The sequence below is a fragment of the Homo sapiens genome, chromosome 20 (assembly GCF_000001405.40).
Source record: "Homo sapiens chromosome 20, GRCh38.p14 Primary Assembly".
Classification (NCBI taxonomy): domain Eukaryota; kingdom Metazoa; phylum Chordata; class Mammalia; order Primates; family Hominidae; genus Homo; species Homo sapiens.
The window spans coordinates 25,592,089-25,607,524 of record NC_000020.11 but is presented as its reverse complement, the minus strand read 5'-3'; the positions used below and the strand labels follow the sequence as shown (position 1 = coordinate 25,607,524).

Sequence of the window (15,436 nt, the reverse complement as noted above, 5' to 3'; positions counted from 1 at the left end):
GTTTTGCCATGTTGACCAGGCTGGTCTCAAACTCCTGAGCTCAAGGGATCTGCCCACCTTGGTCTCCCAAAAGTGCTGGGATTACAGGCATGAGCCACCATGCCCAGCCAGAAAATATTCTTAATACAGTTTGAAATATGCCTTTACTTGGAAGGGCTTTTTTTTTAAAAAGGATGCTACAGGCTATTTACTGAATACAGTGCTGAAAGCATCTATCACACAACGGAAAAAATGGCAAAAGTAGCTGTAGTCAGTAGAAGAGGGACTAGAAGACAGCAATAGAAAATCAATTACTTATTGGGCCAGGCATGATGGCTCATGCCTGTAATCCCAGCACTTTGGAAGGCTGTGATGGGAGGATCACTTGAGGACAGGAGTTTGAGACCAGCCTGGTCAACATAGCGAGACCCCCATCTCTTTAAAAAAAAAAAAAGAAAGAAAAAATCAATTACTTATTGTTTCGGTAATCTATTGCTGAAAAAGAATACACACACCCCAAAAGTTAGTGTATTAAAACAACAAAATCACTTATTGTGGCATCACCTGGAGTACTGGCTTGTCTGAACTATGCAAAATGGCCTCACTCACATGGCTGGCAGTTCATTCCGGCTGTTGACATGGGTCAACGTGGATTATTACACGGGATGGCTGGAACAACCGGACCGCTCTCCATGTGGTCCAAGAGCCTCTCCATGGGACTAGCTTAGGTTTCCTCTCAACATGGTGGCTGGGCTCCAATAAGGAGCATTCCAGTTGGGCAACCCCCAGCGTATAAATACTTTGAAGCCTCAGTTTGCATCATGCTTTCTAATATCTTTTAGCAAGAGCTACTCAAATAAACTATTACACTTGTGAATGAGGTAGGTACTGCTTTGGTTACATAATTGGGCAGGGAATAGTCCCAAGAGAGACAAGACGTGAGGTAAAGATAAGAAGGGAAATGTTCCCTCAAAGTGAACAAGCAAGAGGCATTCTGGTATATCCTGAGATATCCTTTATTATTTATGTTTCCACTGATATTCATGATAATGAAATAAACCACTGAGCTCATGTTCTTGTCTAGAAGAACAGCTGCTACATTTGATGTACTCAACCACTAGCTCTAGCTCTACAGTTCAGTTACTTTTTTTTTTTTTTTTTTTGAGACAGAATCTCACCCTATCACCCAGGGTGGAGTGCAGTGCTGTGAACATGGGTCCAGGCAGCCTAGACCTCCCTGGCTCAAGTGTCCTCCCACCTCAACCTCCCAAGAAGCTGGCACTGCAGGTGTGCACCACTGCTTCTGGCTGATTTGTGTATTTTTTGTAGAGACAGGGCTTTGGAATGTTGCCCAGGCTAATCTCAAACTCCTGGCTTCAAATGATCCTCCTGCCTCAGCCTCCCAAAGTTCTGGGATTACAGGTGAGAGTGTGAGCCACTGAACCTGGCCTCATTACTTCCTTTTTTCTTTTTATTTTTTTGAGACAGAGTTTCACTCTGTCGCCAGGCTGGAGTGCAATTGGCTCACTACAACCTCTGCTTCCTGGGTTCAAGCGATTCTCCTGCCTCAGCCTCCTGAGTAGCTGGGACTACAGGTGCGCACCGCCACGCCCAGCTAATTTTTGTATTTTTAGTAGAGATGGGCTTTCATCATGTTGGCCAGGATGGTCTTAATCTCTTGACCTCATGATCCGCCCGCCTCAGCCTCCCAAAGTGCTGGGATTACAGGCGTGAGCCACCGTGCCCAGCCCTCATTACTTCATTTTATACCAGTGATTTTTATTTGAGTCGCTGCTAAATCGAGAAATCTAGGAAAAGTTATGGACCTTCTTCCGCCCAAAATTAATCTATTCACATAACCAAACATTTACATATTATTTTAGGGGTCCACCAAATTCCCCTTAACCCCCCACAAGTCCATCCATAGACACCTCTATGAAATACAACCCTAGTTTATTCCTTGGTGTCTACCACCTTTTTATACTGGCCAAGTTCTTAATAATTAGGGATGTCTGTGTCATCTTTGTACGTCTCCCAAGCCTGAAATCTGTGCTTAAAAATGTAATAAATAATAAAATAAACTTTGAAAACAACACAGACAGTGCTTTACTGAGTGTCCAACAGATGCCACTAAAATAAGATATTGATGCTGCTTCTCCGGAAACAGCTGTTTCGTTTCTGGGAATTCCTGGGCAAACCCCTCCCTCTGGGAAGGATGAACACAGCTCAGATGCTCAGTACATACTGAGGTCAGCATCCGTCCACGGGTTTTTTTGTGTGGGTAGGTTTTTTGTTTGTTCATTTTTTTGAGACAGAGTGTCGCTCTGTCACCCAGTCTGGAGTGCAATGGTGTGATCTCTGCTCATTGCAACCTCCGCCTCCTGGGTTCCAGTGATTCTCCTGCCTCAGCCTCCTGAGTAGAGTAGCTGGTATTATAGGCGCCTGCCACCACGCCCAGCTAATTTTGTATTTTTAGCAGAGATGGGGTTTCACCATGTTTGCCAGGCTGGTCTCGAACTCCTGACCTCAAGTGATCTGCCCTCCTCGGCTTCCCAAAGTGCTGGGATTACAGGCGTGAGCCACTGCACCTGGCTGAGTTTTTTTGACTAAAAATGTTAGTGTCCACAGTGTTTTTAACAGTTTTCTAAAACCTTCACTGCAATGAGGAAAGCGAAGCCCAGACTGCTGAAACAACTGGCACACGTTCCTGCCATGGTGGATCAGCGCTGCCGGCCCTGCCGGCCCTGCTCCCTCCTGGTCTGCCAAATGCTATGCTTGCCCCTGCCCATGGGAACTCCCCAGGCAGCATTAGATACTGTGGCAGGTATTTAAATTTTGAGGGTCACATTTGGAACACCAGATATAAAAACTAGAGAACAATGTACTAGATACACGAGTGTAACTAGTGTGCTGAACAAGGATGCCATGAGGCGCAGTGGCTCACTCCTGTAATCCCAGCACTTTGGGAGGCACTTTGGCAGGTGCATCACCTGGCATCAGGAATTCAAGACAAGCTTGGCCAACATGGTGAAACCTCATCTCTACTAAAAATACAAAATTATAGGTGTGGTGGCACATGCCTATAATCCTAGCTATGCGAGAGGCTGGGGCAGGAGAATCATTTGAACCTGGGAGGCGGAGGTTGTAGTGAGCTGAGAACTTGCCACTGCACTCCAGCCTGGGCGACAGAGCAAGACTCTGTCTCTAAATAAATAAATAAACCACGGAATTTAGTGGAAATGAACTTTTCGGTCACCTGCTATCCCTTTCACATCTACTCAGAGTGGGAAGTTTTCTCCTGGCAGTGGACTGAAGGGAGATGTGGACGCCAGCCTTTTCTGCTCAGTCCTAGGAAATTGTCCTGTGATGACTTGATGTCACAAACACCATCCTGGTGCAGACCCATGGAGGGTTTAGCCCAGTGGAGGCGGCCACACTTCGGGCTTTGCTCTAAGGAGAACTAATTGCACCTGCCTGCCCCCTCAAGGCCTGCCTGACACAGCCACCCTGTGGGGGTGTGGGATGGTTGGCGTCTTTCTTCCACACTCATCTCCTCTTTGCAAGTTGGGGGTGAGGTGGGACGCTGGGCAGGGAAGTAAGTTCTCGCTTGGGACTTCCTCACCAAAGCCTGGTTTTGTCTTGAGTTAGCTCCATAGCCTCCAGCCCCAACCTGCCTCCCATTGGGCACTTTCAGGGGCTCTTGTTTTCTGTTTTTTTCTTTGCCCGGCTGACACCTTGATTTCCCTTTTTTTTTTTTTTTTTTTTTTTTTGGAGATGGGGTCTCACTATGTTGCCCAAGCTGGTCTTGAGCTCCTGGCCTCAAGTGATCCTCCTGTATTGGCCTCCCAAGGAGCTAGAAGTACATGCGTGAGCTATTAGGCTTGGCTTCAGGGGCTCTTTAAAGACCTCTGGTAAACCCCCTCCAGCTGCAGCTTAGCTTGTGCTTCTCCAGTGGGCTGTCTTCTGGCCCTAGGTCTCAGGCAGGCCCCTCCACCACTGGTTCTCACCACTGGACTCCCCTTTGTCTTCTGGAAGGGACCCCAGGTCAGCCTCTCTCCCATGTCCTTGCCCCTTATCAGTGAGAATGGAGTTACATCCCACCCACATCCTTCACGCCCCCTACCACCCCTGCCATAGGCCCCTTGAACTTTCATGCTTTCTGCAGAAAAGGCATGCCAACCTGTCTCTGGATTTCACCACTGGGTCGTCCCATTCTCTGGGTTTGGGTGAAGGAAGGAGTTCCTCTCTCACCCCCTGAGAGAACAGCAGCCACAGGCTGCAGTAGCTCTCTCTCCAAAGAAATCCTGTAATTCCCTTCCTCTTCCATCTGCAGTTTCTCCACTGCAATATTCTTGAAATAGGTAAGGGACTTCAAAAGTCAGGAAATGAGTTGTTGACTGATTGATTTCAAAACTCCTCCAACAAGTGTCACACTAACTGGTGCCTGATGTCTACTGGCTTAGGTCAAAGTTTCCATTCTGAGGCTGTGCCTGTGAGATCTGCCAGAGCACGTGTGTCCTGTGTGATCCGCCAGAGCACGTGTGTCCTGTGATCCGCCAGAGCACGTGTGTCCTGTGAGATCCGCCAGAGCACGTGTGTCCTGTGAGATCCGCCAGAGCACGTGTGTCCTGTGAGATCCGCCAGAGCACGTGTGTCCTGTGATCCGCCAGAGCACGTGTGTCCTGTGAGATCCGCCAGAGCACGTGTGTCCTGTGATCCGCCAGAGCACGTGTGTCCTGTGATCCGCCAGAGCACGTGTGTCCTGTGAGATCCGCCAGAGCACGTGTGTCCTGTGAGATCCGCCAGAGCACGTGTGTCCTGTGTGATCCGCCAGAGCACGTGTGTCCTGTGAGATCCGCCAGAGCACGTGTGTCCTGTGAGATCCGCCAGAGCACGTGTGTCCTGTGATCCGCCAGAGCACGTGTGTCCTGTGATCCGCCAGAGCACGTGTGTCCTGTGAGATCCGCCAGAGCACGTGTGTCCTGTGATCCGCCAGAGCACGTGTGTCCTGTGAGATCCGCCAGAGCACGTGTGTCCTGTGAGATCCGCCAGAGCACGTGTGTCCTGTGATCCGCCAGAGCACGTGTGGCCTGTGATCCGCCAGAGCACGTGTGGCCTGTGATCCGCCTGAGCACGTGTGCCTGAATGGCAATTCCTTGCCATTCCTGAATCAACCCTTTGTTTTGGAGGAGAAAAAGTTCCAATTTTGATACCCTGGTACATAAACAAGAAGGAATACGGTACAATATAGATGAACACCTCCTGAAACAAAGTCTCATAAGGGAGCTACTGTGCAGTGGCTTGACTGGGGATATGAATCTAAGCTGAGGATTGAAGGAAATGAAACATTTGATTGGGGCAAAGAAGGGAGAGAATTCATTCAGTTCAACACAAGCATAGAGGGCTCCTCCTGAGTGCCAGGAGCTGAGTACCAAGCAACCAGGAGTTTACAATCTCCACAGAGAGGGATCTGAGTAGGGGGGTGAGAAGTGAAATTTGGATGGGTAGGATGGACTGTCAAAAGTGGGCTGTGGACATAGGCCTGGAGTCAGAGAGCACTGTCCTCTGCATTTTAGGAAGGTGGGGAAGCCTGTGTGCATGTGTCTGTGGGTCTGTGTGGAACAGGATGTGCAGTGTGGAGGTGTGTGAATAGTGAAGGCAAAGGAGGGTTTGTGGAGAGGTGTGTGTGAGATAGTTGTGTGCATGTATGTAGGTGTGTGGAGAGGTGTGAGATGGTTGTGTGTGTATGTAGGTGTGTGGAGAGGTGTGTGTGAGATGGTTGTGTGCGTATATGTAGGTGCGTGGAGAGGTTTGTGTGAGATGGTTGTGTGTGTGTATGTAGGTGTGTGGAGAGGTGTGTGTGAGATGGCTGTGTGCATGTATGTACGTTCGTGGAGAGGTGTGTGTGAGATGGTTGTGTATGTGTGTGGAGAGGTGTGTGTAGGGGGTGTGCATGTCACACTGGGTGTGTCTAGAAGGGTTGTGTGTGTGTGCTTAGTGGGTGTAGTAGTGAGGTTGTGGTGAATGTGAGTTATACAGTTGTGTTTGTGTACATTGTGTGTATGACAGTGGTATGTGTAGCAGTGTTGTGTTAGGGGTGTGTGTGTAGTGGTTACTGAATAAGAACTATGTGAAGGACAGATGCTTTCTTTATTGAATTAAAACCTGCCTGGGTGAGAGAGAGACAGAGCAGCAGAGAGACAGAGGCAGAGACAGACAGGGAGACAGAGGCAGAGACAGAGAGACGGGGAAAGACAGAGACAGTGGCAGAGAGACAGACAGAGGCAGAGTATCATGAAGAGATGAGACAGAGACAGTGGCAGAGAGGCAGACAGAGTCAGAGACAGAGAAGCAGAGAGAGATGAAGAGAGACACGAAGAGAGACACAGAGAGGCCTGGAATGTCCTGTGTGATGCCGGCCAGGGGTGCCTGTTGTCTCTCCTGCAGTCAATTCCTCTAAAGTCCCAGCCTCCTTCTTAGAGAACCTATCCTTGGCCTCTTCTCAGACTGAACTTCTCCAGTGAGTGGGCAGCCGCCTCCAACTGAGCCCAACTGTGCAAGGCAGGTTCTTCGGGGAATTCAGGACTCACAGGCTCTGGTTTGGGAGTGCCATTCACGAATGTCCACAGGGTCCAGGCCAGCCTGTAGGCGAGCCACACAGGCTGGGGGAGGGCACAGAAGTGGTGTGGGCTGTGGCAGACCCACGAGGGGATGACCCAGAGGACGCCTGGGCACCAGGCCAAGCCAATTGGGTCTGCAGGCAATACCGCGGGGCTCCTGGTCTGTGCGCTCAGCACATTCCTCTTCTGTTGCGTGAACTCTTGAAAGGGCAAGTGAGGTAAAGCCATGGTCACAGAGAAAGGGAGTCTGTGGAGACAGAAGAGTAAGTGGGTCTGCAAGGCAAGGGAGAGGGAGGGACCTGTGGGTCAGGATAGGTACAGTGGACTGAACTGTGTCCCTCCAAAACTCGTGTGCTGAAGCCCCAACCCCTAATGTCACTGTGTCTGGACATGGGGTCTTTAAGGAGGTAAATAAGGATAAATGAGGTCCTAAGGGTGGAGCCCCAATCCAATAGGAATGGTGTCCTTATAGGAAGAGGAAGGGATGCCAGGGATGGGCGTGCACAGAGAAAGCAGAGAAAGGACCAAGTGGGGAAAGGGTGAGAAGTCAGCTGTCCGCAAGCCAAGGAGAGAGGGTCAGAGAAACCTTGATTTTGAGTGCTTACACCTCGATCTTGAACTCCCAGCCTCCAGCACTGTGAGAAACACATTTCTGTTATTCAAGCCACCCAGTCTGTGTATTTTGTCTTGGCAGCCCAAACAGACTCAAACAAGAAGTAATGGTTGTGATGTCTTTGCAGGCCCTGGTTCAGTTGTACCATTCAGTCAAACATTTGAGCAGTATTGAGTGTTGCAGGGTGTCCTAGGCTCTGAGTCTACAGCAGGGAAACAAGGAGCCTGCTCTCATGGAGCTCACAGGCTCAAAGGATGCAGCCACATCATTGGACCTTTCAGTAGGTTCCCTGTGCTGTTAAAGCTCCCGTGTGTGCACGTGATTCAGGCTCCAACAATTCCTGGCCAAGATAACAGCACAGAGGCCCTGGACCACCTCTGGGTGTTCTGTACAGTGGGCCCTTGGGGGCCTGGTCTTTCACCCACTGGGGTGCAATATAAACCCTCTTCAGATGCCAGAACCAAATGAGGGTTCTGGGCCCTCAAAAGCCTTGACCACAGGCAATCATAGCTGCTTTTTTTTTTTTTTTTTTTTTTTTTGAGACAGAGTCTCACTCTATTGCCCAAGCTGGAGTGCAGTGGCACCATCTTGGCTCACTGCAACCTCCGCCTCCCAGGTTCAAGCAATTCTCATGCCTCAGCTTCCCGAGTAGCTGAGACTACAGGCGTGTGCCACCACGTCCGGCTAATTTTTGTATTTTTAGAAGAGACAGAGTTTCGCCATGTTGCCCAGGCTAGTCTCGAACTCCTGGCCTCAAGTGATTCACCTGCCTTGGCCTCCCAAAGTGCTGGGATTACAGGCACAAGCCACCGTGCCCAGCCCCATACCTGCTTTTAAAGGGGAATTTTATTCTAAGTCAGAAAATTCCAGTGTAGAAGGAAAAAATCCATAGCAAGAACATCATATTTCCCTTTATTTCTCAATTTCCTCTTCTACCATCTTCTCTAGAAATGAAAGACCCTTAGATTAGAGTAATTTTCAAAATGAACTTTCTTCTGTCAACAGCATTTTGATTGAAGTGGTAAGGATGATGTCTACTTTGGCTTACAGTAAAAACCCTCAGCTAACTTCTGTTAGCTAGCTGAATGTTAATACCTAATATTCTCACCAAAACAAGACTGCCCTCAAAAAGAAAATAGACTCTACTGTAAAATAAATCAAATTAAATAAAGTGACACCATCAAATGCTGACAAGGATGCAGAGGACAGAAACTCACTGGTTGCTGGTGGGGAATGCAAAATGGTGTAGCCACTTTGGAAAACCATTTGGCACTGTCTCCTCCAGTTAAACAGATACTTCCCCTATAACCCAGAGATGCCAATGACCCACTCATAGGTATTTACCAAAGTGAATAGAAAACTTATGTTCGAACAAACAAAAACCTGTATGGAAATGTTTCTAGGAACTCTACTCATTTTTTTTTTCTATTTTTTAGTGACGAGGTCTTACTCTGTCACCCAGGCTGGTGTGCAATGGTACGATCACAGCTCAATGCAGCCTCGACCTCCTGGGCTCAAGCCATCCTCCGCTTCAACCTCCTGAGTAGAGTAGCTGGCACCTCAAGTATGTGACACCATGCCTGGCTAGTTTTTAACTTCTATTGTAGAGATAAGGTCTTGCTATGTTGCCCAGGCTGGTCTCAAACACCTTCGCTCAAGCAACCCTCCCATCTCAGCCTCCCAAAGTGCTGGGATTACAGGTGTGAGCCACCATGCCCAGCCTTGTAGTTCTATTCATAATTACCAAAAGGAATGAGCTACTGATACACACGACAACATGGATTAATCTTAGACTCATTTTGCTAAGTGAAAGAAGCCAAACCCAAGGCCGGGCATGGTGGCTCATGCCTGTAATCCCAGCACTTTGGGAGGCTGAGGCAGGTGGATCACGAGGTCAGGAGATCCAGACCATCCTGGCCAACATGGTGAAGCCCCGCCTCTACTAAAAGTACAAAAATTAGCTAGACGTGGCGGCACGCACCTGTAGTCCCAGCTACTCAGGAGGCTGAGGCAGCAGAATCGCTTGAACCCAAGAGGCAGAGGTTGCAGTGAGCCAAGATTGCACCACTGCACTCCAGCCTCGCAACAGAGTGAGACTCCATCTCAAAAAAAAAGAAGAACAAGAACAAGAAGCCAAACCCCAAAGTCTACATGTGTAATTCCATTCATATGACATTTTAGAAAAGGCAAAACTACAAGGACAGAAGACACATCAATGGTTGCCAGGGACTTGGGGGAGGGGAGCAGTTAATTGCACAGGGACACATAGGGTGACTGTATTAGTCCATTTTCACACTGCTGATAAAGACATACCCGAGACCGGGAAGAAAAAGAGGTTTAATTGGACTTACAGATCCACATGGCTGCGGAGGCCTGAGAATCATGGCAGGAGGCGCAAGGCACTTCTTACATGGCAGCAGCAAGAAAAAATAAGGAAGATGCAAAAGCAGAAACCCCTGATAAAACCATCAGATCTCATGAGACTTATTCACTATCACGAGAACAGTATAGGGGAAACCACCCCTGTGATTCAAATTATCTCCCACCAGGTCCCTCCCACAACACATGGGAATTATGGTAATACAATTCAAGGTGAGATTTGGATGGGGACACAGAGCCAAACCATACCAGTGACTTTCACAGTGATGGAACTTTACCTATGGTACTGGGATAGTCGATATATGGTGATCTACACAATTGTCAATTTCATACTTTATTTTTTCATACTGCACGAACTTTATTGCATGCCGATTAAAAAATAATCAAACAGCATATTTAAGACCTAATATGGAAAACAGACTGTGATAAATGAATCTAACCTTATTCTAAATGTGTGATATAACCTCACTAAAGGGGCTGAGGGAAAAGGAGGTGACCTAAGTAATTTTGAAAGCTTGTATTTTAACCAGAAACTGTAAGGCTAAAGAACTATATTAAGCACTGTACTCTAGTTTATAAATTTGTTTCTCACAGGCTATGGGTTAAAAATTCTGAAAGTAGACTGGGCACAGTGGCTCACGCCTGTAATCCCAGCACTTTGGGAGGCTGAGGTGGGTGGATTGCTTGGCCCCAGGAGTTTGAGGCCAGCTTGGGCAACATGTGGAATCCCATCTCTACAGAAAATATAAAAATAAGCTGGGTGTGGTGGCATAAGCATGTAGTCCCAGCTACTTGGGAGGCTAAGGTGGGAGGATCACTTGAGCCTGGGGAGGTTGAAGCTGCAGTGAGCTAAGATTGTGCAACTGCACTCCAGCCTGGGTGATAGAGTGAGGCTCTGCCTCAAAAAAAGAAAAAAAATTCTGAAAGCATTATAAAGAAGTAAGGGGGGAATGCTAGCATGAAGCCTAGGGTATTGGATTTATTTTGGAGACATCAGCATGAACTCAGGTTTAGTTTAATTGGTAGATAGGTAGGTTGGTAGACAGATGGTAGATGGCAGATAGATAGATGATAGAGAATAGACAGATAAAGAGGTGAGAGTAGACATTTATAAATATGAGTCAATATACATGTGTATTTCCTGAGCCTGTCCACTGAGAGAGCCGAGAAGCAATGACACCTCCAATAGCAATGAACACGCCCTCACTCAGATCTTGGTTTCTAAATACAATTCACCAACCAAAAGAAGCAGGTATCTTGGATACCTGGCTTGATACTAGGGCTGGGGCTGGAAAAATATGAGATGAGCCTGGAACATCATATGGTGTTCACAACTACGGAAGTGCTCCAAAAGCAAAATACACAGGCACAGTGAGGAGAGCAGGACCCGAGCAGAAAGAGCCACCAATGGCCAAGGCTGGAACAATGGGAGCAATGAAATAATATAGCATTAGATTATAACCTAGAGTAGGAAATAAAAATACAGGAGTCCATATCAATATAAATAAATGATTTGATTGAATCAATAAATAGGAGATAAGAGACAGATCCTCCTGATAAAGAATTCTAAATAATGTATGTAGATACTCCCCCTCCAGGAGGTGGAATTTAATCCTCCTTTTCTTGACTGTGGGCTGGAATGGACTTAGTAACTTACTCCTAAAGAACAGAGTATGGGCAGGGCGCAGTGGCTCACACCTGTAATCCCAGCACTTTGGGAGGCTGAGGCGGGCAGATCACTTGAGGCCAGGAGTTTGAGTCCAGCCTGGGTAACATGGCAAAACCCCGTTTCTACAAAAAATACAAATGTTATCTGGGCATGGTGCCGACCCCCTGTAGTCTCAGCTACTTGGGAGGCTAAGGTGGGAGGATCACCTGAGCCCGGGAAGTCCAGGCTTCAGTGAGCCAAGATTGCGCCACTGCACTCCAGCCTGGGTGACAGAGGAGACACTGTCTAAAACAAACAAACAAAACAGAATATGAAGATGAAAATTTGAAACTGCAGTGAGGAAACCTGGCAGACAACACCTGAACCAAGTGATCAGGATTAACATGCCATGTGGATGTCAGGTACCCCTTATGCGATGGGATGACAAGGGCACTTCACTTCTGTGTGTTCTTCCCAAAAGCCCCTAACACCAGTCTACTCATGAGAAAACATCAGACAAACCTAAAGTAAGGGACATCCTAAGAAATGCCTGACCAATGCTCCTCACAACTGTTAAGGTCATGAAAAACAGGAAAAGTCGAAACTGTCACAGACCAGAGGAAACTAAGGGATACACTGAGTAAATGCCACATGGGATCCGGGAACACCGGTGAAATCCAGCGGAAGTCTGGAGCTTAGCTGATAGGTTGTGTCATTAGTGGTTAATTCCCTGGTTCTGGTCATCGTACCATTGTTATGTAGGATTTTAGCATTAAGGGAGAGTGGGCAAGGGGGGGTACATGGAGCTTTCTGTACTATCTTGGCACCTACTCTATGCATCTAAAAATGTTCAAGTAAAACTTATTATGAGGAAAAGAACATGGAATTTACTGAAAGAATCAGATATGCCCAGCTGGGCATGGTGGCTCATGCCTGTAATCCCAGCACTTTGGGAGGCCGAGGTGGGCGGATCACTTGAGGTCAAGAGTTTGAGACCAGCCTGGCCAACATGACGAAACCCCATCGCTTCTGAAAATACAAAAATTAGCCAGGCATGGTGACACTTGTCTGTAGTCCCAGCTACTTAGGAGGCTGAGGCAGGAGAATCGCTTGATTCTCCTGAGATCGCGCCACTGCACTCCAGCCTGGGCAACAGAGTGAGACGCTGTCTCAAAAAAAGAAGAATCAGATATACTCAGACTGAGTTAAACTGGGTATATCTGAGTTATCAAAGCTTTTTAAAGGCTAATGAAGCAACAATATCCACAGATGAATATATTTTCCAAATGTTCTGAAATGAGCACTTAGCAATGACTCCTAAGGAAGTTATAAGAACTTGAATGTGGCACATCTTTCCTCTAAAGGCTGATGTTCTCTGTTAAGTCACCTGATTGTGGGTTATTCTGATTAAACTGTGGGAGATGAATGTGAACTAACAACACTGTAAAACAAATGCAGGATCTTGTGGCCACTCATCAAAACACAGCCGTCTGAGGGCTGCTGGCATTTCTCAACTTCCAGCATCACATTGGAATTCACAGATGGCAATTTCATGATGGGTTATTTAAGAAAAATTAAGATGTCTATATCACAGAGGAAAAGCTATATGGGCTGGGCACGGTGGCTCACGCCTGTAATCCCAGCACTTTGGGAGGCCGAGGTGGGTGGATCACCTGAGGTCAGGAGTTCGAGACCAGCCTGACCACCATGGAGAAACCCTGTCTCTACTAAAAATACAAAACTAGCCAGGCATGGTGGTGTATGCCTGTAATCCCAGCTACTTGGGAGGCTGAGGCAGGAGAACCACTTGAACCCTGGAGGTGGAGGTTGCGGTGAGCCGGGATCGTGCCACTGCACTCTAGCCTGGGCAACAAGAGCGAAACTTCATTTCAAAAAAAAAAAAAAAAAAAAGCTATATCCCCATTAATTGAAACCATTGCCAGAAACATAAAATCAACACTAGAATTCAATAAAATAAGGAACCCTTACTGTTTATCGGGCTTTCTATAATACTAGGTGTTGTCGGGGATGTAAAGACAAAAATCTCATCATTCTTGACTGTGGCAATTTACAATCTTGTTGGGACTCAAACAAGTAGGACCTACCGGTGGAACCTTAGTGTCATAGTACTTAACAGACCAGGACACCAGAATGAATGGTCCAAGGCAGAGCAGGACTCCTTATTCAACGGATGGGGTGGAGGACTGCAGTTGCTCTGGAGGTCTTCTCAGAAAAAGACAGATTTGAGCACAGCCCTGATGAATGGACAGATTCGAGTTGATGGAAAGGAGGCATGGTGTGTTTAAAACACTAAGGCAAGAGTGCCAGGGGCACTCCCCAGAGTCAGCAAGTACCTGGTTTTCCTGGAGGCAGGGCTCATGGGATGTGATGGGAGAAGCTGGAAACAGGGTCTGGGATTTCTGTGAAGGAGGCTGGGTGAAGGTTTGTGAATCTGGATTTCTCCGTCTAGTTAGTGTGGAGTCACCAAAGGCCCTGGGGAAAGGAGGAGTGATCAAAGCAGGTTTTTAGGAAGATGAAGCTCATTTTATCACAACAGATAGAGAGACTAGAGGAGAAACATTTGGGAGGCAGCAAGGCTCTACCCTGGTAAGGCACAGCACTCCTGTTGCCCAGGCTGGGAGTGCAGTAGTGCAATCTCGGCTCACTGAAGCCTGGATGTCCCATGCTCATGTGATCCTCCCTCCTCAGCCTCCCAAGTAGTTGGGACTGCAGGTGGTCGCCACCATGCCCAGCTAATTTTTGTATTTTTCATAGAAACAGGGTTTTGCCACATTACACAGGCTGGACTCAAACTCCTGGCTTCAAGTGATTTGCCCACCTCGGCCTCCCAAAGCGCTGGAATTATAGGCATGTGCCACTGTGCCCAGCCCTTGGGAGGCATTTTTTTTTTTTTTTGCGATGGAGTTTTACTCTTGTTGCCCAGGCTAGAGTGTAGTGGCACGATCCCGGCTCACTGCAAACTCCGGTCCCAGGTTTAAGCGATTCTCCTGCCTCAGCCTCCCAAGTAGCTGGGATTACGGGCATACACCACCATGCCGGGCTAGTTTTGTATTTTTAGTAGAGATGGGGTTTCTCCATATTGGTCAGGCTGGTCTCAAACTCCCGACCTCAGGTGATCCACGCACCTCGGCCTCCCAAAGTGCTGGGATTACAGGCGTGAGACACTGCATCCGGCGGGAGGCATTTCTGATGTTCATTTCTCTTTGCCTCTTACTTCACCATTTAGTTTGTAGCTAAATTCTACTACTTCCTTTTACATGCCAGCTGTATCTGCTCCGTGGGCCACTTTTCCCACTAGCTCTGGTGCCTTCCTGCCTGTCTTTCCAGCTGAGTTTCCTGCACGCATCTTAACCTGCCATTGCCTTCTCTGTCTTCATTATTTGATGTGTCTGGCCCCAGCCACACAGCTCCCACTTCTCTCTGGCCTCTAAGACCTTCTGAAGCGTTTAGAACAATGCCCCACATCTGAAAAGTGAACAGTGCTGGTTCTCACATTCGGGGAGGAGGCTCAGTTTTGCAGGCAGTTAGAACTGTGCAGTTCCCCCAGGACAGCAGCAGGCAAGGAGCAAGATCGGCCTCCTTGGCAACCTACTTTAAACCACCTGAGGAAAAGGCGTTTATTACTGTGAGGCTTAAAATAAAATAAGAGACAGAGTATTCTTTTTTTCCTTAATTACGCATTTTAAATATCAATATGTGCATTTGCTTTTACAGTTATAAACTTTCTCATGTTTCAGACAACAGCTTGTAATAGTTTTGAATCCATTAAGATGTTGCTTTCAATTTGAAATATTTTGTGTATACATGTATATAAAAAATAACCCAATGTATGACTCATCTGACAGATGTTTAAGATCAATAAAGGCTTATTTTTCAACATGCAGTTAGGAAGAGAGGGAAGCAAGCCAACCTCTCTACACTGTCGTTTTGCTGGCTTGTTTTGGCAGTGGAACCAATAGTGGTTTTTGGAGGGAACCATGTGCCTTCAGCCTATCTAGTTAAGATCAGATACCACAATCAACAAAGACAGAGTATTCTTTTTTTTTTCTTTTTTTTGAGACACGGTATTGTTTTTTGAGACAGGGTATCGCCCAGGCTGGAGGGTAGTGGCACGATCATAGCTCACTGTAGCCTCAGACTCTTGGGCTCAAGCGATCCTCCATCCTCAGCCTCCTA

The 15,436-nt window shown here is 47.3% G+C and overlaps 1 annotated feature.

Annotated features, from left to right (window-relative positions):
* Nucleotides 4,246-5,445: an enhancer, noted in NCBI's record as "CDK7 strongly-dependent group 2 enhancer chr20:25582716-25583915 (GRCh37/hg19 assembly coordinates)". NCBI's record gives its function as "activates an origin of replication core promoter dependent on BRD2, BRD4, P300/CBP, MED14 and CDK7 cofactors, with strong dependence on CDK7, by STARR-seq in HCT116 cells {active_cell/tissue: HCT116}" and the evidence as "EXISTENCE:reporter gene assay evidence [ECO:0000049][PMID:35650434]".